The sequence below is a fragment of the Homo sapiens genome, chromosome 2, assembly GCF_000001405.40.
Source record: "Homo sapiens chromosome 2, GRCh38.p14 Primary Assembly".
Classification (NCBI taxonomy): domain Eukaryota; kingdom Metazoa; phylum Chordata; class Mammalia; order Primates; family Hominidae; genus Homo; species Homo sapiens.
The window spans coordinates 188,534,229-188,561,415 of NC_000002.12; the positions used below are offsets into that span (position 1 = coordinate 188,534,229).

The 27,187-nt window shown below is 34.8% G+C and overlaps 1 protein-coding gene across 69 annotated transcripts in view; it reads left to right on the forward strand.

Annotated features, from left to right (window-relative positions):
- GULP1 (GULP PTB domain containing engulfment adaptor 1) overlaps nucleotides 1-27,187 on the forward strand; it is a 304,053-nt gene that overhangs the window by 242,355 nt on the left and 34,511 nt on the right. For 47 of the 69 annotated variants that reach the window (NR_164744.1, NM_001375929.1, NM_001375936.1 and 44 more), the window contains one exon: nucleotides 6,953-7,090. The exons of 21 other annotated variants lie outside the window; for them this stretch is intronic. Coding sequence is in view for 46 of the 48 variants with exons in the window: in NM_001375929.1 (NP_001362858.1) it covers nucleotides 6,953-7,090 (138 nt within the window). In the remaining 2 variants the exon portion in view is untranslated. The remainder of the gene's footprint in view (nucleotides 1-6,952; nucleotides 7,091-27,187) is intronic. One more of the 69 variants, NR_164745.1, reaches the window with a different exon arrangement.

Sequence of the window (27,187 nt, forward strand, 5' to 3'; positions counted from 1 at the left end):
ATCAACCTAGATGCCTCTCAATGGTGGATTGGATAAAGAAAATGTGGTACACATACATCATTGGAACACTATGCAACCATAGTAAAGAATGAAATTGTGTCCTTTTGCAGCAACATGGATGCATCTGGAGGTCATTATCCTAAATGATTTAATGCAGAAACAGAAAACCATATACCATATATTCTTACTTATAAGTGGGTACTTATACTGGGTACTCATGGACATAATGATGCAACAGTAGTTTCTGGGGGCTACCAGAGGGAGAAGGAAGGAGGGGATAAGGGTTTAAAAACAAACTCTTGCATACTATGCTTAGTACCTCAGTGATGGGACTATTTTTACCCAAAACCTCAGCATCATGCAGTATACCCTGGTAACAAACCTGAACATGCACCCCCTGAATCTAAAATAAAAGTTTAAAAAAGTCTGTTTGGTGATAAAACAAAACAAAACAAAACAAACAGGGAAAGGTAGTAAGAAAGTAGATGATTCCCACCTACTATTTTTATTGCGGAAAATCATATTTTCAGGTTTCTATCAATAAGTTTATCACATGACAACCTATTATATAATTCTGTTTCTTAAGCTTTTAATATCAAATCTGCATGCTTCTCCCAACCTAAACCTCCTTTACAAAATATCAGTGAAGTGGGGTTCAACTCAACATGATTAGCCAGTTGACTTCATTATCCTATATTGCCTTACCAAAATCAATAATGCCAGTGCTTTTCTTTCCTGTCCACAAGTCTCGATTTCCTATTATTAAGACTTTAATATTTAATAATAAATTGTTATTAATAATTAATATTCAATTAGTGTTTAATATTAAATTGGTAATATTTAATTATTTAATATTAAAGTAATTATTTAATGTTTAAATTAATAGTAAATTACTAGTTAATATTAAAAATTAATTTCTATTTTTTCTGTTATTTATTTCTACTCGTTCTGTTTTTAATAATTTCAACTTTCATTTTAGATTCAAGAGTTACATGTGCAGATTTGTTACCTGGGTATATTGCATCATGCTGAGGTTTGGCATATGAATGATTCCATCACCCAGATAGTGAGCACAGTACCCAATAGTTAGTTTTTCAATCCTTAACACCCCCTTTTCCCATCCACTTTAAAAGTTACCCAGTGTCTATTATTGCCATCATTATGTCCACGAGTACCCAATGTTTTTCACTTATAAGTGAGAATATGCAGTATTTGTTTTTCTGTTTCTGCATTAATTCGTTTAGGATAATGGCCTCCAGCAGTATCCATTTTCTGGAAAGGACATGATTTTGTTCTTTTTGTGGCTGCATGGTATTCTGTGGTACATATGTACCACATTTTCTTTATCCAATCTACCGTTAATGGGCACCTCGGTTAATTACATGTCATTGCCATTATGAATAGTGCTGCAATGAACATATGAGTGCATGTGTCTTTTTGGTAGAAAGATTTGTCTTTTTATGGATATATGTCAAGTATGTATACCCAGTAACAGGGTTGCTGGAAAACAGCAACTGTTTTAAGTTCCTTGGGAAATCTCCAAACTTCTCTCCATAGTGGCTGAACTAAATTACATTCCCACCAATAGTGTATAAGCATTCCCTTTTTTTCATATCCTCACCAGCATCTGTTGTTTTTGACTTTTTAATAAGAGTGATTCTGATTGGTGTGAGATCATATCTCTTTGTGGTTTTTATTTGAATTTCTTTGATGATAAGTGATGTGGAGCATTTTTTTCATGTTTATTTGCAGCTTGTTTGTCTTCTTTAGAGAAGTGTCTGTTCATGTCTTTTGCCCACTTTTTAATATGGTTATTTGTTTTTTGTTGGTTTAATTGTTTAAGTTTCTTATAGAACCTGGGTATTAGACGTTTGTTGGATGCATAGTTTGCAAATATTTTCTCCCATTCTGTAAGGTGTCTGTTTACTCTGTTTGATAGTTTCTTTTGCTGTGCAGATGCTCTTTAATTAGGTTCCACTTGTCTACTTTTGTTTTTGTTGCAATTGCTTTTTGGAACTTAGACAAAAATTCTTTACCAAAGCTGATGTCAAGAAGGGCATTTACATTATTTTCTTCTAGGATTTTTATAGTTTGAGGTACTACATTATTTAATCCATCTTGAGTTAATTTCTGTATATGGTAAAAGGTAGGGGTCCAGTTTCATTCTTCTGCATCTGGCTAGCTAGGTATCCCAGCAACATTTATTGAATAGGGAGTCCTTTCCCCATTGTTTATTTTTGTTGACTTTGTCAAAGATCAGATGGCTGTAGACTTGTGGCTTTATTTCTGAATTCTCTATTCTTTGCCATTGGTCTATGTACCTGTTTTTGTACCAGTACCATGCTTTTTTGGTTACTATAGCCTTATAGTACAGTCATCGGGTAATGTGATGCCTCCAGATTTATTCTTTTGGTTAAAATTGCTCTGGCTATTCAGGCCCTTTTTTGGTTTCATATGCAGTTTAGAATTTTAAAAATTCTAATTCCCTGAAAAATGGCATTGGCCATTTGATAGGAGTAACATTGAATCTGTATTGTTTGGGCAATATGGTCATTTTAACAGTATTAATTCTTCCAATTCATGAGCACGGAATATTTTTCCATTTGTTTCTGTCATCTTTGATTTTTTTCCACAGTGTTTTGTAGTTCTTCTTGCAGAAATCTTTCACCTCCTTGGTTAGATGTATTACTAGGTATTTTATTTTTTTTGTTGACTATTGGAAATAGGATTGCATTATTGATTTGTCTCTCAGCTTTAATGTTATTGGTATACAGAAATGCTACTGATTTCTGTACATTGATTTTATATCTCGAAACTTTACTGAAGTTGTTTACTATCAGTTGCAGGAGCCTCTTGGTGGAATCTTTAGGATCTTCTAGGTAGATAATCATATTGTCAGTTAAGAGGGATAGTTTGACTTATTATTTTTTTATTTTGAAGCCTTCTCTTTTTTTCTACTGTCTGATTCCTCTGGCAAGGACTTTGAGTACTCTGTGGAATAGGAGTGATGAGAGTGGGCATCCTTGTCTTGTTCCAGTTCTCAAGGGGAATGTTCCAGCTTTTGCCGGTTCAGTATTATGTTGGCTCTGGGTTGGTCATAGATGGCTGTACTATTCTGAAGTATGTTCCTTCAATGCCTAGTTTGTACAGGGATTTTATCATGAAGGAATGCTGGATTTTTTCGAAGGCTTTTTCGACTTCTGTTGATATGATCATATGGTTTTTGTTCTTAATTCTGTTTTTATGTTGAATTGTATTTATTGATTCGCATACGTTGAACAAACCTTGCATCCCAGGAATGAAGCCTTCTTGGTTGTTTTGAATTAATTTTTTAATGTACTGTGGAATTCAGTTTGCAAGTATTCTGTTGAGAATTTTTGCATCTATGTACATCTGGAATATTGGCCTATAGTTTTCTTTTTTCACTGTATCTTTGCAATGTTTTGGTATCTGAATTATGCTGGTTTTGTCGAATGAGTTAGAGAGAGGTTCCTTCTCCTCAGTTTTTTGGGAATGGTTACAGTGGAATTGGTACCAACTCTTCTTTGTAGGTATAGTAGAACTTGGCTGTGAATCCATCTGCTCTGGGGCTTTGTTTGGTTGGTAGATTTTTTATTACTGATTCAATTTCAGAACTTGATATTGTTCTGTTCAGGATTTCAGTTTCTTGCTGATTCAATGTTGGGAGGTTCTGCGTTTCTATAAATTTATCAATTTCCTCTAGATTTTCTAGTTTGTGAGCTTCAAGGTGTTCGTAATAGTCTCTGAGGATCTTTTGTATTTCCGTGGGATCAGTTGTAATACCACCTTTGTTGTTTCTCATTGTACTTTTTGGCTCTTCTCTCCTTTAGTCTTTGTTTATGTAGCTAGTGGTCTAGTGATCTTGTTGATCCTTCCAAAGAACTAACTTTTGGGTTTGTTCATTGTTTTTATGGATTTTTTTCTCTCAATTTCATTCAATTCCACTCAGATTTTAGTTATATCTTCTGCTAGCTTTGGGGTTAGTTGATATTTGTTCTTCTAGTTCCTCTAGGTGTGATATTAGATTGCTAACTAGTGATCTTTCTAAATTTCTGAGGTATGCATTTAGCACTAATAGCTAATTTTTAAGAGCCCTACTTGAATTCTATTCCCAGAAGTGAGTTTTTAAAACTCTTAATGAAAAAGAAGCATCTCTATTTTAATCCCTACCAAACCTGGGGAGCAATCTTGGAGTTTAAAAATCCTTGAGATATTTTATACATTCAATTATATTGCATATTAATATAGAACAACTATTTACCCTATGTTACATACGAATATAGAGTATATGACTATTTACCCATATATATAAAGTACCATTTCTTGAATGCATTAAAAATGTAGGAAATCTAAAAAAGGGATTAAAAAGCTCTGCTGAGCACCAGTGTCCCCAAAACATTCCTAAGAATGCTGATTGCGGTATGTGTGTGTGAGTGTGTGTGTGAGTGTGTGTGTGTGTGTGTGTGTGTGTAGTGAGAGAGAGAGACAGTTCTCAGTTCTTGGATACAACCTATTCATAGACATTTACAGACATGCATTTAGAAACTACTATTCAAGGACATATACATAAGTGACACACAAAAAAATCAATCATTTCATTCTAGATGTATGTTGATATTTAGAAAAAAACAAATGTGATACTTCTAAAATAAATTTATTTATAGTTAAACATACATATATGAGACAGGATTTTTAAATATATTATTAATCTAACATGGACTGTCTTTATACAGAATAGAATCTTTATTTTTTTTTCACTTGGATGAATGAAAATGGAAAGTGAAAATTAAGTGAAAGCAATCTCAATAACAATTGGCTCCTCTGTCTTTCTGTGTCCTTTCCCTTTCTGCTTTTCTCACGTGTCCTCCAAATGAAGATTATAGAGTGCTAGAAATGAGAGTAAATGAGAGACTATGTAGATTTCAGCACCAGCTAAGTGAATGTTGTGTTTTGCATGTTACTCATAATTTCTCCCATCTATGGAGAAATGAATTTTTTTCCTATAGTGTTTAGCAGTAATATTTTCTCTTTATTTATCATTAACATGCTTTTACAATTAATAAGCTGTTATAGACCTCCTGTCAGTATTTGGGAGCTATCGTGTAACAGAGAGCTGTTATTTAATTGACTATATTGTCATTAAAACAAAAAAAAATCAATAAGAAAGGAAACTGTTCTAATAGGCAAAATACAGAAAGAAGATAGTCTCAAACAAATATGATCATTGTCCATCGATGCTTTCTGTATAAGAAAGGAAAGATGCTGCCATCAAAAGCTAAGTAAGTCAAGCACCTCTTCTTAGACTTGGTTCCCCCTGCTTTTAAACAGATGAATTAGGCTATCTAATAATGCCAGTAAGCATTACAATCCTACAATATACTTCCTTATTTTAATTTTCATACTTACCAAGCAACTCTTCGATGGCTTACCGTTTGGTTTACCATTGTATGCAGGGAAAGAATGCTTTGCTATGGACAGTTCTCTTAGCATTTATTTGTATATCTCATTTTATATATTCATTTTCAGTCTGACGAGCAGTTATTTGAATCAGAGTAATAGAGCAAATCTCAGCAAGCTGACACATCAAACTCTGAACTGAGAAGTTTAAATGTTTTCATATCAATGATTCTTATCTTGAACAAAATCTCTGAGATTTTGATTCAACTGAGGTAAAAACAGTGTAAATTTTTATAGCAAGCACCCCAGGTATTTGTGCTACACGTTGTCTGAAGCCACCTTTAGAGAAACTCTTCTAGTTATAACCTAAAATAAAGCTTTTTTGGGGGATATTCAGCCAGCCTTCCTTAGATGAAACTGTAGTTGCTTCCATCTCCAATCTTATAAAACACCCACTCAATAATCTTGGTGAACTGACTTTCTGATTGATATTTCTAGTGTTACAGTGTATCTTAGGAAAATATATTTATGACTACAACAGAAAAAGGAATAGTTGATTTTTCTACTTGTCATAATCAAAAACATTGAATTTCTTTTCTACCTCCAACATGTTTCAGAAGACTGTGAAGAATGAATAATTAACACGGATGATCTATATGAATATAAAAAGTGTCAAATGCTCCATCTTTTGACTAAATAATAGTAATTATAGAAACACATTTATTTTATATAAATATTTTTATTTTAATGATGTATATACCTTCTATTTTATAAGTTTTATAATTTAATATGTGTGTGTGTGTGTGTGCGTGTGTAAATATATGCTGCAACTATATCGATCTGGTTGCAGTATTTGTCTTCTACTGATGAATAGATTTGACTGCGTGATTTGGAGTCTGGATATGTATACCATTCATTTATTGCTTCATGAAAAATGCTACAGAAGTTCCAAAGATGAGCTTCCTAGACAGAACAGGTTCAAGAGTGTATGAGTTACCATGAAATTATATAAAATAAAATTTAATAAGATTACTAAGGATGAAATGATAGTGTGTTTCACATGAAATCGTATCCAGATAAAGCTGTGTTCTAAACTATAATGCTAGTAAACAGCAGTGAGATAAAATGAGAATTGCTCTGGTTTAAAAGAGTTCTGGTAATTCTGTAAAACTGTGGGGGTGTCTTATTCTTTCTGGGTCTCATTGTTCTCCTCTGTAAACATGCAAAGTTTAAAGTATATGATTTCTCAAGAGCCATTGTAGCTCAGATAGGCCATAAATCTTTGATCATTTTGTACTATGCTTATGTTTTGCTCAGCACTACTGAAATGCATATCTTAGTTTCATCCTGAATCAGGAGGTCTATCTGTATCCATTATGCCTTTGTTTTAGGTTGGGGTGTACATAATTATAAAATCAAAGATTGACAGATGATTGTTCTACTTTTAAAGTCACATGTTATTAACACAAACGAGTATTTCAGAAAATGAAAAAAGAATCCCATCAACTATGTTTATTTCCATCTGTGTTCACAGGAAGTTCAACACAATTGCCAGCTTCATAGAATATCTTTTTGTGCAGATGATAAAACTGACAAGAGGATATTCACTTTCATATGCAAAGATTCTGAGTCAAATAAACATTTGTGCTATGTATTTGACAGCGAAAAGTGTGTAAGTATCCCAGATGTTGTAGGGTGGTTTGTTCTGTTTTATAAGCCAGGAATTGTCTTGCTTCTGGCATTGGCAAAGTATTTGAAAATGAATAATTTTCTGTAAATTATTCTGTAAAAAGTCTGTAAATACTTAGCTGTACTAATAGATTTATTTTGTCATGAGAATATGCTTCAGGATTTCATCTGTAACTAAATTCTCATGGTCATGAGCATAAACTTACATGTAAATTTCTTTTATTAGAATGCCATGCCTGCTTATGTTATGCATGTATTTTATAATAATTTAATCTATTTTACAATTTTAAACTCAAATATGATTTAGTATTATGCACATAATACAAACAGTAGTGGTGAGCAAACGTGTGTTTCCCCCACATGTGCAGAATATGATGGATTTTATGAAAATAAATATTCTTAACTCCAGGAAATATGATCTATATGGTTCCTTAAAAGATTTTCCAATACACTGAAAATTTAGTTCCTTATGTTCATTGTATAAAAATCTTAGGCCAGGCGCGGTGGCTCACGCCTGTAATCCCAGCACTTCGGGAGGCCGAGGCGGGCAGATCATGAGGTGAAGAGATCGAGACCATCCTGACCAAAATGGTGAAACTCTGTCTCTACTAAAAATACAAAAATTAGCTGGGTGTGGTGGTGTGTGCCAGTGGTCCCAGCTACTAGGGAGGCTGAGGCAGGAAATCACTTGAACCTGGGAGGCAGAGGTTGCAGTGAGCCAAGATCGCGCCACTGAATTCCAGCCTGGCGGCAGAGTGAGACTCCATCTCAAGAGAAAAAAAAAAAACAACTTAAAATAATGAAAGTTAATGGAATTGTATGTATGAAATTCTATGTTAAATCCTGTAGCAGTTCTTTAATCATCTGGAATCTTAAGGAAAACCCACTGGTGGCTGCAATAAAGGAAAAACATGTAACCTCAACAATTTTATTGGTTTAGATAGGAAATAAAACAATTCATCTGTTTGCTAATTTTTGCTGCTGTCAAAAATAACAGATAGCTAATATTATTATCACTGTTATGTCATTTGTTTATCTAGTTTCAGTATTGAGCTTCTTGAGAACAAATACCTTTTTATTTGTTCATGTGACTCCTACATCAAGTGGACAATAGGTGCTCAATGAAACATTCCTTAAGAAAAAGATCACATTGAAAAGTTACAAAAAATAGAGCAAGTTTTTATTTTTATTTTTTAAACTGTAGTTCTCTAGAAAGGAAAGCTAATGTGCTAAGCTACTAGATATCATAATACCTTTTGTGAATTTTGTGCACATTATGGAACATTTCATCAGAAAAAAGATGCTTAGCAATATAAGACAATATTTTGTGCACAATAAGACATTTTATATAGCTCAAATTGATTTTGAATTTTATTTTATATGAACTTCTGATGAATGAATAAATAAAATTTACATATTTCAAGTGTTTTTTAACCATGATTGCTTGCAGATTCTTTTCTCTATGACTGAGAAGATTAAAGTTGATATTTGTTGAATATCTTCTACACATAATTTATAATAACCTTTTACCACCTACATAAAGCAGTAAACTCAGTTATTCTTCTTTCCTGCCTTACCCATAGAAATAAATTTCCTTAAGGTCCTTTGAAATGTTTCAGAGTCAGAGTTCATTCTAAATATTGGCCTTCTTATAGATTTGTGCCATTTGTTTTATATTCTTTGATCCCTATCCAAATTTGTTAAATTAATATTTAAAATATAAGTTTGCCACCTTAAAAGCATAGACCCCATTTCTTTTTGATCATAACTGTCTGTAATTGATTGTTCTCCTTGGATATAGCGTATCAACTATTTTCTCTTGTTGTGCGCATGTACCCTAAAACTTAAAGTATAATTAAAAAAATAAATAAAAAAAGATTGAAAATAATTTCTTGAAGCCTAAGCAGTGGTTCACAATCATTAATGTACATAAAAATCATACAGGATGCCTTTTAAAAGCTATTATCAATTGGGGCTGGAGCTCAGGAAATCTATATTTATCAAGTATACCAAGTGATTCTGCTGCAGGTAGAGGAAGTCTTGGCTTTGAGAAGTTCCCAGATACCTCCCAACTATAAGTTGGCATCACCTTCCTGTGCTGAAAAAGGACGTTTCCTCAAAATTTTGTTATACCTGCACTATCTTAACTATGAGGTTTTATCAGTGCTAATTATAATGATGACTATATTTATAACACTGATATTATATGTATGCAGAATTTTTGATATGCCATCTTATGTAATTCTCATTTTAAATAGTTTAGCATAGAGTGTTAAAATGGGAAATAAGTTATGGCCTATCTCATACAACTCTCCTCCTATTTTAAAAAACCAAGACCAGAGATGTTGAAGTAAGTTTCCCAAAGTTACAAAGCTAAGTAGTCAGTAGAATCAGGACTAAAATCTAAGACTCATAATTCTTATTGCTACATTTATCTCATCATGCTATATTACTCCCATAACTGTGGCCTCCTCTAGAGTTCATCTGCTCTTATTGGGGACTTTATCTGTTCATTGTATTTTATCTTTTTAGTACTTCTTTGAAATTGAGATTTTGAAAGATGAAACCTTTTTTAGTAAGGCACAAGACTGGAATTCACTACTTTATTAACAGTATCATGTTGTATTAATAGTCCTCCTTCTTCCATGGTGACAGTGAGGACCATTCAACCCTGCCAAATTAGAATGCTGAATGACAACATTTAACCCTGCCAAATTAGAATGCTGAGCTTCTATACTTACCAGGCAATAAGGGGGCAGTGCATTTCCACCCTCACTCTCCTACTGGAATTGCATCTGATGAAGCCACCTAAAGCAGAAAATTTAAATAATTTCCAGTATTTCATAAAATGAAAATCACTCTTCATACCAAGAGACAGGTTTCTTAAACTAAAAAGGAAATGACAGTCAGTAGTTACCAACACATAGATGTCAGAGATATTATAATTATAGGACAAAGGTTTTAGAACAGCCATCATATAACACAATAAAATGAGCAGTTACAAACACACATGAAACAGATGAGAATGTAGAAAATCTTATCAAACAGAAAATCTAAGCAAAGAAACAGAAGATATAGCATTAGGAGATATACCTAATGCTAAATGACGAGTTAATGGGTGCAGCACAACAATATGGCACATGTATACATATGTAACAAACGTGCATGTTGTGCATAAGTACCCTAAAACTTAAAGTATTATTATAATAATAATAATAATACTAAAAGAATACTGAAAAATAAAGTAATGACATGAAAGACTTAGTGTATGGACTCAACAGCAGAATAGAGAGGTCAAAGGAAAAGAATCAATGACCTGGAAGACTGACAAATAGAAAATACCCAATCTGAACAAGACAAAGATTATAGACTCAATAAACCAACAAAACAGAACCTCATGGACTGTGGGACCGTAACAAAATATCTAACATTTGTGTGTCATCTGAGTCCTGGAAAAAGAGAATAAGCACCCTTAAAAAACACTCCAAGAATATTAGTTGAAAACTTTCCCGATTTGACAAAGGACATCAACCTATAGATCTAAAATACTGAGTGATCTCCAAACAGGATTAATCCAAGTAACTCCATACCAAGACACATCATATTCAAGCTTCTGAAAACTAAAGACAAAAGAAAAATCTTGAAAGCAGCATGAGATAAGCAAGTACTTACCTATAGCAGAGAATGTGAATGGCAGTGTATTTCTCACCAGAAACCATGAAGGCAAGAAGGAAGTTGCATAATACTTTTTGAGTAATGGAAAAAACAAAAGCCTGTCAAATGATCCTATATCCAGAAACATATTCTTCAGAAATTGGAAAGAAATTTTAAAAAATTATTAGATGAATGAAAATTAAGATTGTTTGCCACTACTAGATATCCTAAATGAATGGCTAAAGGAAGTTCTCTAAATGGAAAGGAAACAATACAAAATGGGAACTTGGAGTATAAGGAAGGAAAAAAAAAACAAGATGAGCAAACATATGAGTAAATCTTTAGTTTTCTAAATTGTGTTTGATAGTAGAAGAAAAAATACTTTCTGATGTGATTTTAAATCTGATGTGATTTCATATATGGACATGAAATATGTAAGCCAATTATATTAAACTAGGAAAGTTAAGAGGATGTAAAAAGGGAGGTGAGGTTTCTACACCTCACATGAACTGGAAAAATAATAGCGCTGGGTAACTATGATAAGTTATATAGATAAAATGTGAATCCAATAACAACCATTAACACGTTGTATAATGAGATACACTTAAAAGCACTATAGAGAAATTAAAATGTTATCGTTTTAAAAGCCCATAGAGATGCAATGAAAAGAAAACAGAGAAAGAAAAAAGATAGGTAACAGAAAAGAAAAAGATTAAATAATGTACTTAAGCCCTAACATATCAAAAATCACATTAAATGTAAATGGTCTAACTACACCAGTTAAAATATGTTGTTAAGGTGGATTACAAAACATAATCCAGATACATATCATCTACAAGATGTTCATTGCAAACATAATGGTATAGGTGATATAGGCAGGCTAAAAATGAAAGAATGAAAAGAGAGTTTTCATGCAACCATTATTCAGAGAAAGCAGTAGTAACTATATTTACATCAGATAAAGTAGACCTCAAGGCAAAGAAAATTACCAGAGACAGAGGAGGGGCATATAGTGATAAAAGGGACCAGTTCCCAAGAAGATATGGTAATCCTAACTGTGTATTACCAAAAAATAGAGCTGCAAAATGAGAAACAAAAACAGATAGAACTAAAAGAGTAAATAGACAAATACGCAATTATAGTCGAAATTTTACTGGCACTTTCCCTCAAATTTATAGAATAATTAGAAAATCATCAAGGATATAGAATTACTCAACATCATCAACCAGTGGGATCTAATGAGCAGTTACAGAGAACCTCACCCAACAACAACAGAATGTACATTATTTTCAAGTGTTTGAGGAAGATGTACCAAATTAAGTCACATCCTGGACCATAAAATAAATCTTGAAAATTTAAAAGAATTAAAATTATTTAACGTTTCTCTGACTATAAGGAAATCAATCTAAAGATCAGTAACAGAAAGCCAGAAAATCTTTAAAAGCTAGGAAATGAAACATCATATTCATAAATATTCCATACATTAAATAGCGATTCACAAATGAATTTTTAATTTTGCGAATTGAATAAAAATGAAGTAGAGCGTATCAACATTTGTGTGATATAACTAAAGCAGTGCTAAGAAAGAAATCTGTAACTAATTTAATACATTAGGAAAGAGGAAAGTCTCAAATGAATAATCTATGTTCCCATCTCAAATACACAGAACAACAAAAATATCAAAATAAACCTCAAAGTAAGCAGACGGAAGATAAGATTAATAAGAGAAGAAATTGGTGAAGTGGAAAATACAGAAAATCAATGAAGCAAAGACCTGATTCTTTAAAAGATTATAAAAGTCACAAATTGTATTAATTTGGCAAAGAACAAAAGAGGGAGAAGACACAAGTTACCAATATTTAGAATGAAAACCAACAGATTTCACTACAGACTCTCTGAATATCAAAAGAATAAGAGGATCCTATAAAGAACTTTACACACACAAATTCAAAAATACAAATAAATTGGATCAATTATTTAGGAACAATATTACCACAAATCACTCATTATTAAATAGATTATTTTAATAGCCTGATAACTATAAAGGAAATTAAATTTATAAATTAAAAGTTATTAAAAGATAAATCTCCAGGTGTAGATGGTTTCACTGGAGAATTCTATAAAATGTTTAAACAGGAATTAATGCTATTCTATACAATCCATTCCAGTGAAAAATAAGAGGGACAGAAACACTTTCTACTTCATTTTGTGAAACTAGTATTTCTCTGATACCAAAACCAGACTTAGACAATGAAAAAAAAAAAAACACTAGAGATCTGAATTCCTCAGGAACATAAATGTAAAAATTCCTAAGGAAATATAACCCAGTAATGCATTATATTAGTCAGGGTTCTCTAGATGGATAGAGCTAATATATATATTGGAAGTTTATTAAGGAGTATTAAACTCACACAATCACAAGGTCCCACAATAGGCCCATCTGCAAGCTGAGGAGCAAGGAAGCCAGTCATAGTCCCAAAGCTGAAAAACTTGAAGTCCAATCTTCAAGGGCAGGAAGCATCCAGCACAGGAGAAAGATGTAGGCTGGGAGGTTAAGCCAGTCTAGCCTTTTCATGTTTTTCTGCCTGCTTTATATTCTGGCTGCACCAGCAGCTGATTAAATGGTGCCCATCCAGATTAAAGGTGGGTCTGCCTTTTCCAGCCCACTGACTCAAATGTTAATCTCCTTTGGCAACACCCTCACAGACACACACAGGATCAATACTTTGCATCCTTCAATCCAATAAAGTTGACGCTCAGTAATAACCATCACATGCATTAAAAGAATTATATGCAAAGGTTAAGAGTAGTTTGTCCCAAGGATGCACATTTTGCTCAACATTCAAAAATCCAATGATATAATCAACCACATGGAAAATCTAAAGAAGAAACGTGATAATACCAGTCAGTGCTTTAAAAATAACTTTAAAAGAGAATGAACACACACTCATTGTTTAAAACTCTCAGAAAAATAGGAATGGAAAGAACTTCCTCAATTTGATAAAGAGCATCTAAGCAAAATACAGATATTTTACTTTATGGTAAAAAAAAGTATGCTTTCCTCCTAAGACATGGAACTAAGCAAAACTTTTCACTCTCTTGGCTCATATGAAACACAGCCATAGAAGCTCTAGCCATTGCAGCAAGACAAAAAAGCATATAATAAATTTGCAGATTGTAAATAAAGAAATAAAACTGTGCTTATATGCAGATGGCATGATTGTCTAAGTAGAAAATTTTGAGTCTAAAACAATTTCTGGATTTAATAAATGAGTTTAGCCAGGTGGCAGAATACATAATTAACATACATGGATCAATTGTATTGCTGTATACTAGTAGTGAACATATGGATACAGAAATTTACAATTGCTAAAAGAAGTGGAATACATAGGTATAAGTCTAAACTAAGAAGTGAAATTTGTATGCTGAAAATTCATGTGCAACAAATTGCTGACAAAAGAAATGATAGAATCTACAAATAAATGGAGAGATACTATTTTCAGTTCTTCATACTGATGTATAGATTTAACACAATTCCTGTCAAAATTATAGCAAGGTTGTTTGTAGATATAGACAAGACAAGATTATTCTAAACTTTATATGGAAAAGCAGAGGAACTGGAATCACTAAAACAATTTCAAAAAAAGAGCAGTGAAGTGAAAGTAATTCATCTACCCTGTTTCAAGACTTATTAGATACCTTTACTAATGAAGACTTTAGTTTTGGTGGAGGGAAAGACAATAGGTCAATGGAAGAGTGAACATATAAATTAACACACAGAAATATGCCCAGCTAATGTTTGTCAATGCTGCAAAAGCAGTGCAATAGGGGAAAGAAGGTTTTGTTTTGTTTTGTTTTGTTTTGTTTTGTTTTATTTTGTTTTCAGACAGTGCTGGTGCAATTGGACTTTCATAGGCAAATAAAATGCACCTTGACCTAAACCTCACACTCTATCTAAAAATTAACTGAAAATTCATCATGGACTTAGATATAAAAATACAACTATAAAACATTTAGAAAAAAAACACATGGGAAATCTTCAGGATGTAGGGCTAGGAAAAGAGTTCTTAGAATTGACATCCATAGCAGGATTTAAAATGGGGGAAAATGATATACTGAACTTTTGAAAACATTTTTCTATGTATAAGTGCTTTGTTCCATGTCTTAGGAAAGCATTCTTTTTTTATCATAAAGTAAAATATCTGTATTTTGTTTAGATGCTCCTTATCAAATTAGGGATGAAAAGACGGGGAGAAAGTATTAGCAAACCACATATCAGACAAATAACTAGTAAAAAATCATTCAACACTCAACAATATGAAAACAATGAAATTAGAACATGAACAAAAGACAACAAGATGCATTTCATTGAAGAGGATATACAGATGGAAAGTAAGCACGTGAAAAGATGTCAAACATTGGTGTCCATTAGGGAAATGCAAATTAAAATCAAAATAAGATATTACTACAGAATTATCAGACAGGCTACAATAAAATCACCAAATGCTGGTAAGAATGGGGAAAAAGTACATCATTCACACATAGCTGATGGAGATATAAAATGGTATGGCCATTCAGGAAAAACAGTTTGGCAGTTTTATAAGAAACTGAACATGCAGCTGTCCTATGAAATACTTGGACATTTATCCCAGAGAAATCAAAACTTAAAATGTTCACACAAAAACCTATACACAAATATTTATAGAAGCTTATTCATAATAGCCGAAAACTACAATCCATCCAGAAAATGTGTGAAGGGACATTACTTAGCAATAAAAAGGCATGAACTATTAGACACACAACAATGTGGATGACTCTCCAGAGATTAAGGAATGCAAAAAGTCTATCTCAAAAGCCTGTGTACTCTATGATTCCATTTCTATAACATTCTTAAAATAGCAAAATTAAGGAAATGGAGAACAATTAGTGATTGCCAGAGGTTAAGGAGATGGTGAGGGCAGGCTAGAAGAGGATGTGCTTATAAAACAGCAAGATGAAGGACTCTTGTCGTAATCAAATTATTCTGTATTCTGACTATATTATGAATATCCTGATTGCAATTGGTACTATAGTTTTGCAATATATTATCATTAGAATAACCTGGACAAAGGATACACAAGATCTCTCTGTATTATTTCTCACAGCTGAGTGTAAATCTAAATTATCTGAAAATAAAGTTTACTTTAAATATCTGAAAAATAAAGTATGGCCTATTTGGACCAAACCTTTTGTCTTATTTTAAGTAAATGCAGGCCAAAAAGAATTAGTTTCTTTCCTAGAGTGACAAGCTAGATAGAAACAGAATTTGAACTTAGAGGAAGGCTTACCTTAGCATACTACAAAACTAGAACAGAGAATTTATTGTGATATGGTTGATTTTTATTATAAATTAAATATAATTGCTGTCAACTGTTTAACCATTATTTTGATTTTCTTTATTTTTCACAATTTCATTTCCAAATGTTAATAAATATACCTTATTTGCTGAATGCTGCTTTTAATATAATTTAAAGAGTAGCCCCAATAAACAAATGAAATTATCACACACACATTTTTTAATGATGTGAAAGGAACTGTAAAATAAGGCAAAGTTTAAAACTTCATTTTTACATCTTAATTAATTCTCCGTAAAAAGGGTTCATTGTCAAAAGAATCATACATTATTAGTACTAGAAGGAATCACTGCATCCAGTCGTTTTACAAGGTCTGTCTGTGAGAAGGTGTTTACTGCATATTCTTATTATAGCCATATTTCACGTTTGCTTTGTGTTAATAATTTTTGAATCACATTTATCAAAATAAAAAATTAATGTTTTTTTTATTTCATTACATGATTGAGGGAGAGCTAATTTCTTAGATTAGCCATCCAACTTAATGTAATTAGTTTAAAATTAGAATCTGGAAGCTTATTGTTGCTGAGTATTTCCTGCCAATACCAATTTTCATGTCTCCATTTCATGAAATACTATAATTTACATATCAAGTCCCTGAGTTTAAAAACTCTGAAGAATTGGCTTATTATGACAACAAGCAGGAGTGACCAGCTGTAAACTAGAAAACTAATTTTTTAGTTAATTTGTCTGAGGTTCTTTTGTATGTGATTTTTTAAGACAAACTTTCTTTTATTTGAACAAATTTATGGAGTAGATGTGAAACATTGTTACATGGATATAATATGTAGTGATCAAGTCAAGGCATTTAGGGAGGGCATCACCTGAGTACAATACATTTATATTAACTATAGTCACCTTACTCTACTATCAAACATTGAATTTATTCCTTCTCTCTAACTGTATGTTTGTACCCATTAACCCACTTCTCTTCATCCTCCTTTCCCCATTTATTCTTCTCAGGCTCTGTTATCCATCTTTCTACTCTCTACCTCCATGTGATGAAATACTTTGCTTTCACATGTAAATAAGAGCATGCAATATTTGTCTTTTTGTGCCTTATTTATTTCACTTAAGATAATGACCTCCAGTTCCATCCATGTTGCTGCAAATGATATGATATCATTACTTTTATGGCCAAATAATATTTCATTATGCATATATACACCACATTTTCTTCATCCATTTATCCATTGGCGGACATTTAGGTTGATTCCATATGTTTGCTATTGTGAATAGTGCTGAAATAAACATCTCAGTGCAGGAATCCCTTTGATATATTGATTTCTTTTCATTTGGATGGATACCCAGTAGTGGAGCTGCTAGATCAAATGATAAGTATATTTGCAGGTTTTTTTTTGAAATCTTCATACTGTTTTCCGTAGTAGCTTTAGTAGTTTACATTTCCACCAATAGTGCATAAAAGTTCCTTTTTCTCCACATCCTCGCCAACCTCTGTTATCTTTTGTCTTTTTGACAATAGCCATTCTGACTGGGTTAAGATGATAACATTGTGGTTTTGGTTTGCATTCTGTGATGATTATAATATTGAGCATGTTTTAATATACTTGCTGGCTGAATGTGTGTCTTCCTCCGGGAAATGTCTATTCATGTTCTTTCCCATTTTTTTTTAAATGGGAACATTTTTTTTTTCTAAGTTGTTTGAGTTCCTTGTATATTCTGGAAGTTAGTCCTCTGTCAGATGAATAATCCGAAAATATTTTCTCCAATTCAAAAGTTGTTTCTTCATTCTGTTGATTATTTATTTTTCTGTGTAGATGCTTTTTAGTGTAATTAAGTACCATTTGTCCATTTTTGTTTGTGTTGCCAGTACTTTTGAGATCTTAGTCATAAATTCTCTGCCTAGCCCAATGTTCAGTAGTTTTCCTTAGATTTTCTTTTAATATTTTTACAGTTCCAGATATTACATTTAAGTTTTTAGGCCACTTTGAGTTGATTTTTATATATGGTGATAGGGGTCCAGTTTCATTCTATTCAATTCAATTTTCCCAGCACCATTAATTGAAGAGGATGTTCTTTCTCCAGTGTAACTTCTTTTTGGCTTTGTCAAACCTCAGTTGACTGTAAATAAGTGGTTTTATTTCTGAGTTCTTTATTCTATTCCATTATTCTGTGTGTCTGTTTTTATACCAATACCATACTGCTTTGGTTACTGTTACCTTGTATATTTTGAAGTCGGGTAATGTGATGCCTCCAGCTTGGCTCTTTTTGCTCAGAATTGCTTTAAGTTTGCCGTTTCTTATTCTGTGATGAATGATGTCAGTATTTTGATAGGCATTGCATTGAATCTACAGGTTGCTTTGGATGGTAGTCATTTAAATGATATTATTTCTTATGATCCATGAATATAGGATATTTTTCTATTTGTTTGTGTCATTGACTATTTCTTTTATCAGTCAATAAATAGTTCTCTCCTTATAGAGAACTTTTACCTCCTTGGTTAAATTTATTCATATATATATATATTTATTCCTATATATGTATATACATATATGTGTTTATCTCTCTCTATATATATACGTATATATATGCATGTGTATACTTATTGCGCTATTGTAAATGAGATTGCCTTCTTGCTTTCCTTCTCAGCTACATCATTGGTATACAGAAATGCTCCTGATTTTTGTACATTAATTTTGAATCCTCCATCTTACTAAATTCATTTATCAAATCTAAGAGTTTTTTTATGGAGCAATTAGGTTTTTCTAGATATAAGATCATATCAGCAAAGAGGGATAATTTGACTTCCTGTTTTCCAATTTGGATGCTTTTATTTCTTTCTTGTTTGATTGCCCTGGGTGGACTTCCAGTACCGTGTTGAATAGGAGTGATGAAGGTGGGCATTCTTGTCTTGTTCCAGTTCGTAGAGGAAAGGCTTTCAACATTTCTTCCTTCAGTGTGACATTAAGTGTGGATTTGTTATTTTATGGTATGTTTCTTCTGTGCCTGGTTTGTTGAGAGATTGTTATCATGAAGGAATGTTGAACTTTATCAAATTCTTTTTCTGTGTCTATTGAGATGATTATTTTTTGTCCTTCATTCCATTAATTTGAGTTACCACCTTTACTGATTTGTATATGTTGAACCATCCACGCATCTCTGGTATAAATCCCACTCAATCATGGTGTATTATATTTTTGTGTGCTGTTGAGTTAACTAGCATTTTGTGGAGCATTTTGTGTCTATGTTCATCAGGAATATTGACCAGTAGTTTTGTTTTTGTTGTTGTTGTATCCTTATCTGGTTTTGTTATCAAGGTGATCTTGGCCTTATAGAATGAGTTAAGAAGAACCCTGTTCTTCAATGTTTTGGAATAGTTTCAGGATTGGTATTAGTTATTTGCATATTTGGTAGAATTTTATTGTGAATCCATCTAGTCCCGAGCTTTTCTTTGTTGAGACAGTTTTTATTACTGATTCAATATTGCTACTCATATTGGCCTGCCAGGTTTTCTATTTCTTCCTGATTCACTTTTGTTAGGTTGCATGTTTCCAGAAACTTACCCATTTACTCTAGATTGTTCAGATTGTTCAGTTTGTCAGCATATAGTTTTTATAATAGTCTTTGGGGATCTTTGTATTTCTGTGATCAGTTGTTACATTTCCTTTTTCATTCTGATTTAGTTTATTTAGATATTCTCTCTTCTTGGTTAGTCTACTTAATGATTTCTCAATTTTACTTATTTCAAAGAACCAATTTTTTGTTTGTTTGATCTTGTGTATTTTTTTAGTCTCTATTTCATTTAGTTCTGCTCTGATCTTTTTTATTTATTTTATAATGTTAATTTTGGGTTGGTTTGTTCTTACTTTCCTAGTTCCTTAAGGTATATTGTTAAGTTGTTAACATGTTATCTTTCTACAGGAATTTTTTGATACAGGAATTTATTGCTATAAACGTTCCTCTTAGCACTGCTTTTACTGTGTCTCACAGGTTTTAGTTTATGTTTCCATTTGTTTCAAGAATTTTTTTTTATTTCCATCTTAATTTCTTTGTCAACCCAAAGGTCATTCAGGAGCATGTTGTTTAATTTTCATGTATTTGTATATTTTCCAAAGTTCTTATTAGTATTGATTTATTTTTATTCCATTGTGGTCTGAGGGGATAGTAGAAATTATTATCTTTTTTTTTTTTCTAATTTGTTGAGACTTGTTTTGTGGCCTAATATATGGGCTATACTGGGGAATGTTCTATGTGCTAATGAAAAGAATGTATCTTCTGCAGTTTTTGGATAGAATATTCTATAAATGTGTATTAGGTCAATTTGGTCTGTAGTACAGTTTAAATTTGGAGGTTTTTGTTATCTGTCTAGATGATCTATCTAGTACTGACAATGGGGTTTTGGGCTCCCCCACTATTATTGTATTGCAGTCTATCTCTTTAGATCTAGAAATATTTACTTTATGGATCTTTGTGCTCCAATATTGGGTGCATATATACTTAGATTTTTTAAAATTGTTATATCGTCTCACTGGATATATTCCTTTATCATTATATAATGACCTTTTCCATCTTTTTAGAACTGTTTTTGGCTTAAAGCCTATTTTATCTAAGTACAGCTATTTCTGCTTGCTTTTGGTTTTCATCTGTGTAGAATATCTTTTTCTGTCTCTTTACTTTTAGTCTATATGTGCCTATACTGGTAAGGTGAGTTTCTAGAAGGGAGCATATATTTGGATCATTTAAAAAATCAATTCATTCATACTATATATTTATGTAGAAAACTTAATCCATTTACAGTCAGTGTTATTATTGCTAGGTAAGGCTTTGTTCCTGTCATATTGTTAATTGTTTTCTGGTTGTTTTATATATGACTTTCTTCTGTTATTGTTCATCTTTGTTGTTTTGGTAGATGTCTGTAGTGGTACACTTTGAGTCTTTTATCTTTTTCCCTTGTGTTATTTCTTTACCAATGAGTTTTATACTTTCTTGTGTTTTCCTGATAGTAAATCTTGTCCATTTGTTTCCAGGTTTAAGACTTCCTTGAACAATTCATATAAGACCAGTCTAGTGGTAACAAATTCCCTCAGTATTTACTTGTCTGAGAAAGACTTTATTTCTTCTTCATTTAGAAAGGAGAATATTACTGGATATCATGTTCTTCTTTTTTTCTTTTAGCACTTTGAATATTTTAGCCCATTCTCTTCTAGTCTGTAAATGCTTTTGCTGAGAAATTCATTGTTAGGCTGATACAATTTCCTTTACAGGTGACTAGACGCTTTCCTCTTGCTGTTTTTATAATTCTTTATCTTTGACTTTAGATAGTCTGAGTATAATGTGCGATGGTGACTGCCTTTTCGTTTTGTATCTGCTTAGGGATCATTGATCTTTCAGTAAGTGGATATTTATATCTCCTGCTAGACTTAGAGAGTTTTCATCTAGGCTGGGTGTGGTGGCTTATACCTGTAATCTCAGCACTTTGGAAGGCCAGGAAAGGTGGATAATGAGGTCAGGAGTTTGAGACCAGCCTGGCCAATATGATGAAACCCCATCTCTACTGAAAATCAAAAATTAGCCAGGCATGGTGGCACACACCTGTAATCCCAGCTACTTGGGAGGCTGAGGCAGAAGAATTGCTTGAACCCGGGAGACAGAGGTTGCAGTGAGCTAAGATTGCACCACTGCAGCCCATCCTGGGTGACAGAGTGAGACTCTGTCTCAAAAAAAAAAAAGAAAAAGAAAAAGAAAAAAAAAGAAGGTTTTCATTGACTATTTCATGAAATGGGTTTTCTAATCCTTTTATGCTTTCTTCACCCTTGGGAACACTGATAATTTGAATTTTCAGTAATTTTAAGGTGTCATAAATGTCGTGAAGGCTTTCCTCATTCTTTTCTACTATTTTTATCTTTATATTTGTCCGACTGAATTATTTCAAAAGATCTGTCTTTAAAGATTTGAGATATTTTTTTCTTCCACTTGATCTAGTCTATTATCGAAGATATCATTATGTTACTCCTCAATGAGTCCTTAAGTTCTAGAATTTCTCTTTCGTTCTTCTAAAACATATCTATCTCTTCAGTATTTTTCTCATTCATATACTGATTTGTTTTTCTGATTTCTTTTTATTGTTTTTCAGATTTCTTTTGTATTTCACTGAGCTTCTTTCAAATCAGTATCTTCAATTCTTTATCTGGGATTTTGGGAATTTCTTTTTTATTAAGATCTACTGGAGATCTTAATTTACTGGAGAATTATTATGTTTCTTTCAAGGTGTCATATTTGTTTGATTTTTTTGTTTCCTGTGTCCTTATGTTGATATCTGCACATTTGTATAAAAGTCACTTCTTCCTGTTTTTGAATTTACTTTTTGTGGGGAGGATGTTGCTAAACCACTCATTAGAAATCTACTACCACGTTGCTGGGCACGGTGGCTCACGCCTGTAATCCCAGCACTTTGGGAGGCCGAGGCGGGTGGATCACGAGGTCAGGAGATCGAGACCACGGTGAAACCCCGTCTCTACTAAAAAAGACAAAAAATTAGCCATGTGTGGTGGCGGGTGCCTGTAGTCCCAGCTACTCAGGAGGCTGAGGCAGGAGAATGGTGTGAACCTGGGAGGCGGAGCTTGCAGTGAGCCTAGATCGTGCCACTGCACTCCAGCCTGGGTGACAGAGCAAGACTCTGTCTCAAAAAAAAAAAAAGAAAAGAAATCTACCACCATGTTCCAATCACCTACCACCAGGCTCCATCTCCAACATTGGAGATTACAGTTTGACATGCGATTTGATAGGAACACAGATCCAAAACATATCTTTCTGCCTCTGGTCCCCCAAATCTCATATCCTTTTCACATTGCAAAATACAATCATACCTTTCCAGCAGTCCCCAAAGTCTTAACTTGTTTTGGCATTAACCCCAAAGTCCAAAGTCCAAAATCTCATCTGAGACAAGGGAAGTCCCTTTCACTTATGAGACTGCAAAATCCAAAGCAAGTTAATTAATTCCAACATACAATGGGAGTACAAGTACTGGGTAAACATTCCCATTCCAAAAGGGAGAAATTGGCCAAAAGAAAGGAGATACAGGCCTCACACAATCCCAAAATCCAGCAGGGCAGTCATTACATTTTAAAGCTCCAAAAGAATCTTCTTTGACTCCATGTCCCATATCCAGGGCACACTGGTTTGAGAGGTGGGCTCCCAAGGTCTTGGGCAACTCTGCCCCTGTGGCTTTGCCATTAAGGTTCAGCCCTAATGGCTACTCTCACGTGCTGGCGTTAAGTGCTTGTGGCTTTTCAGGCACAGGGTGCAAACTCTCAGTGGATCCACCATTCTGGGGTCTGGAAAATGGTGGCCCTTTTCTCACAGCTTCACTAGGCAGTCCCCCAATGGGGAGTCTGTGTGGGGTGTCTAATGAGGGCTCCAATCTTGCAGCAAGGCTCGCTTCTTACATTCTGTGTATCTGCAGGCTTAACACCATGTGGAAACTGCCAAAGCTTATGACTTGCACCCTCTGAAGCAGTGACCTGTGCTGTACCTGGGCCTCTTTGAGCCATAGTTGGAAATGGTGTGGCTGGGAAGCAGGGAGTAGTGTTGTGAAGCTGTTCAGGGCAGTGGGGCCATGGGCCTGGCCCATGAAACCATTCTTCCCTCCTAGGAAGCCTGCAATGGGAGGGTATGCTGCAAAGGTCTCTGAAATTACTTCAGGGCCTTTCCCCCATTGTCTTGGCTGTTAGTGCTTGGCTCCTTTTCACTTGTGAAAATTTCTGCAGCCTGCTTGAATTCCTCCCCTGAAAATGGGCTCCTCTTTTCTACCACATGGCCAGTGATACGGTTTGGCTCTGTGTCCCCACCTAAATCTCATCTTGAATTGTACTCCCATAATACCCATATGTTGTGGACGGAACCCAGTGGGAGATCATTTGAATCATGGGGGCAGTTTCCCCCATACTATTCTCATGGTAGTGAATAAGTCTCATGAGATCTGATGGTTTTATCAGGGGTTTCCGCTTTTGCATCTTTCTCATTTTCTCTTGCCACTGCCACGTAAGAAGTGCTTTTCGCCTCCTGCCATGATTCTGAGGCCTCCACAGCCATGGGGAACTGTAAGTCCAATTAAACCTCTTTTTCTTCCCAGTCTCAGGTATGTCTTTATCAGCAGCATGAAAACAGACTAATAGTGTAAATTGGTACCAGTAGAGTGCGGTGTTGCTGAAAACATACCCAAAAATGTGGAAGTGGCTTTGGAACTGGGTAACAGGCAGAGGGTGGAACAGTTTGGAGGGCTCAGAAGAAGACAGGGAAATGTGGGAAAGTTTAGGACTTCCTGGAGACTTGTTGAATGGCTTTGACCAAAAGCCTGAATGTGATATGGACAATAAGGTCCAGGTTGAGGTGGTCTCAGATGGAGATGAGGAACTTATTGGGAACTGAAGCAGAGGTAACTCTTGTTATGTTTTAACAAAGAGACTGGCAGCATTTTGCTCCTGCACTAGAGATTTGTGGAAGTTTGAACTTGAGAGAGATAATTTAGGGTATCTGGCAGAAGAAATTTCTAAGCACCAAAGCATTCAAGAAGTGACTTGGGTGCTGTTAAAGGCATTCAGTTTTATAAGGGAAGCAGAGCATAAAAGTTCAGAAAATGTGCAGCCTGACAATGTGATAGAAAAGAAAAACCCATTTTTTGAGGAGAAATTCAAGAGCAGCTACAGAAATTTGCATAGGTAATGAGGAGCCGAATGTTAATCCCCAAGACAATGGGGAAAATGTCTCCAGGGCATGTCAGAGGTCTTCACAGCAGTCCCTCCCATCACAGGCCCCGAGGCCTAGGAGAAAATGGTTTTCTGGGCCTGGCCCAGGGTCCCTGTGCTGTGTGTACCCTAGGGAGTTGGTGCCCTGCATCCCAGTTACTCCAGCCATGGCTAAAATGGGCCAGGGTAGAGCTCAGGCTATGGTTTCAGAGAGTGCAAGCCCCAAGCCTTGGCAGCATCCACGTCGTTTTGGACCTCCACAGAAGTCAATAATTGGGGTTTGAGAACCTCTACCTAGATTTCAGAAGATGTATGGAAACTCCTGGATGCCCAGGCAGAACTATGCCGCAGGGGTGGGGCACTCATGGAGAACCTCTGCTAGGGCAGTGCGGAAGGGAAATGTGGGGTCAGAGCCCCCATACAGAGTCCCCACTGGGGCACTGCCTAGGGGAGCTGTGAGAAGAGGCCCACTTGCTTTTGATTTTACAGGCTCATAGGCAGAAGAGACTAGCCTTGTCTCAGATGAGACTTTGAACTGTGGACTTTTGGGTTAATGCTTAACTGAGTTAAGGCTTTGGGGGACTGTTGGAAAGGCATGATTGGCTTTGAAATGTGAGGACATGAGATTTGGAGAGGCCAGGGGTGGAATGATATGGTTTGGCTCTGTGTCCCCACCCAAATCTCATCTTGAATTGCAGCTCCCATAATTGCCACATTTTGTGGAAGGGACCTGGTGGAGATAATTTAAATCATCAGGGCGGTTTCCCACATGCTGTTCTCATGGTAGTGAATAAGTCTCATGAGATCTGATAGTTTTATCAGGGGTTTTCACTTTTGCATCTTCCTCATTTTGTCTGGTCACTGCCACGTAAGAAGTGCCTTTTGCTTCCTGCCGTGATTCTGAGGCCTCCCCAGCCATGTTGAACTGTAAGTCGTATTAAACCTCTTTTTCTTCCCAGTCTTGGGTATGTCTTTATCAGCAGCGTGAAAGTGGACTAATACAGTGAGGCTGCAAATTTTCTAAACTTTTATGCTGTACTTTCCCTTTAAATGTAAGTTCCAACCTTAGGTAATTTCTTTGCTTATGCATATGAGTATAGCTTGTTAGAAGCAGCCAGATGAAACCTTGAATGCTTTGTTGCTTAGAAATTTCTTCCTCCAGATACCCTAAATCATCATTCTCAAGTTCAAAGTTCCACCTAGGGCAGGGGCACAATGCAGCTAAGTTATTTGCTAAGGCATAATAAAAGTGACCTTCCTCCAGTTCCCAATAAGTTCATCATTTATATCTCAGACCTCCTCACATTGGACTTCACTGTCTACATCACTATTGGCATTTTGGTCATAACCATTTAACCAGTCTCTAGCAAATTCCAAACTTTCCCTCATTTTCCCATCTTCTGAGCCCTTTAAAGTCTTCCAACCTCTGCCTGTTACCCAGTTCCAAAGTCACTTCCACATTTTCAGATAGTTTTATAGCAATGCCCCAGTCCTCAGTACCAGTTTTCTGTATTAGTATGTTCTCACATTGCTATAAAGATATACCTAAGACTGGGTAATTTATAAAGAGAGAAGTTTAATTGGTTCACAATTCTACAGGCTGTACAGGAAGCATGATGCTGGCCTCTACACTGCTTCTGCTGATACCTCAAGAAACACAATCATGACAGAAGGCAAAGCAGGTGCAGCCATGGCTTACATGGCAGGAGCAGGATGGAGGGTAATGAGGAGGTGCTCCATACTTTTAAGTGACCAGATCTCATGAGAACCTACTCACTAATTTGAGAACCTACTCACTATTATGAGAACAGCACCAAACAGATGGTGCTAAACCATTTATGAGAAATTCACCCCCATGATCCAATCACCTCCCACCAGGTCCCACCTCTAATACTGGAGATTACAATTTAATATGAGATTTTATGGGGACACAGGTCCAAACCATATCAGCTATAAACAGCATTAGTGAGATCTGCCATTTCCTTGGAGGGTTAGTTTGCAGATATTAGGGGAGGTTGTGGTGGATTTGTGCTGGGGACTGGGACGTTAAGCATGTCACTGTTTAAGCCCCAGTCGTGGCAACAGTGGGCTGATCATGCCTATCTTTATTCCCTAGGCTGATATATGCTGGCAGTGGTATTGGTGGTTACCAGTGGACCAATTCTTGGGCTTCTAGTTGGCTTGCTTGGATGCCAGTCATGGGCACAGTGGACTGAGCAGGTGGACAAGTTCTTGGTCCCCTAAGCAGGCACTGTGGTATGGGTTATGGTAGTATCAGTGACAGGAAAATTATCTGCATCCCAGGTACTGTATGTTGATGTGGGCAGTGGC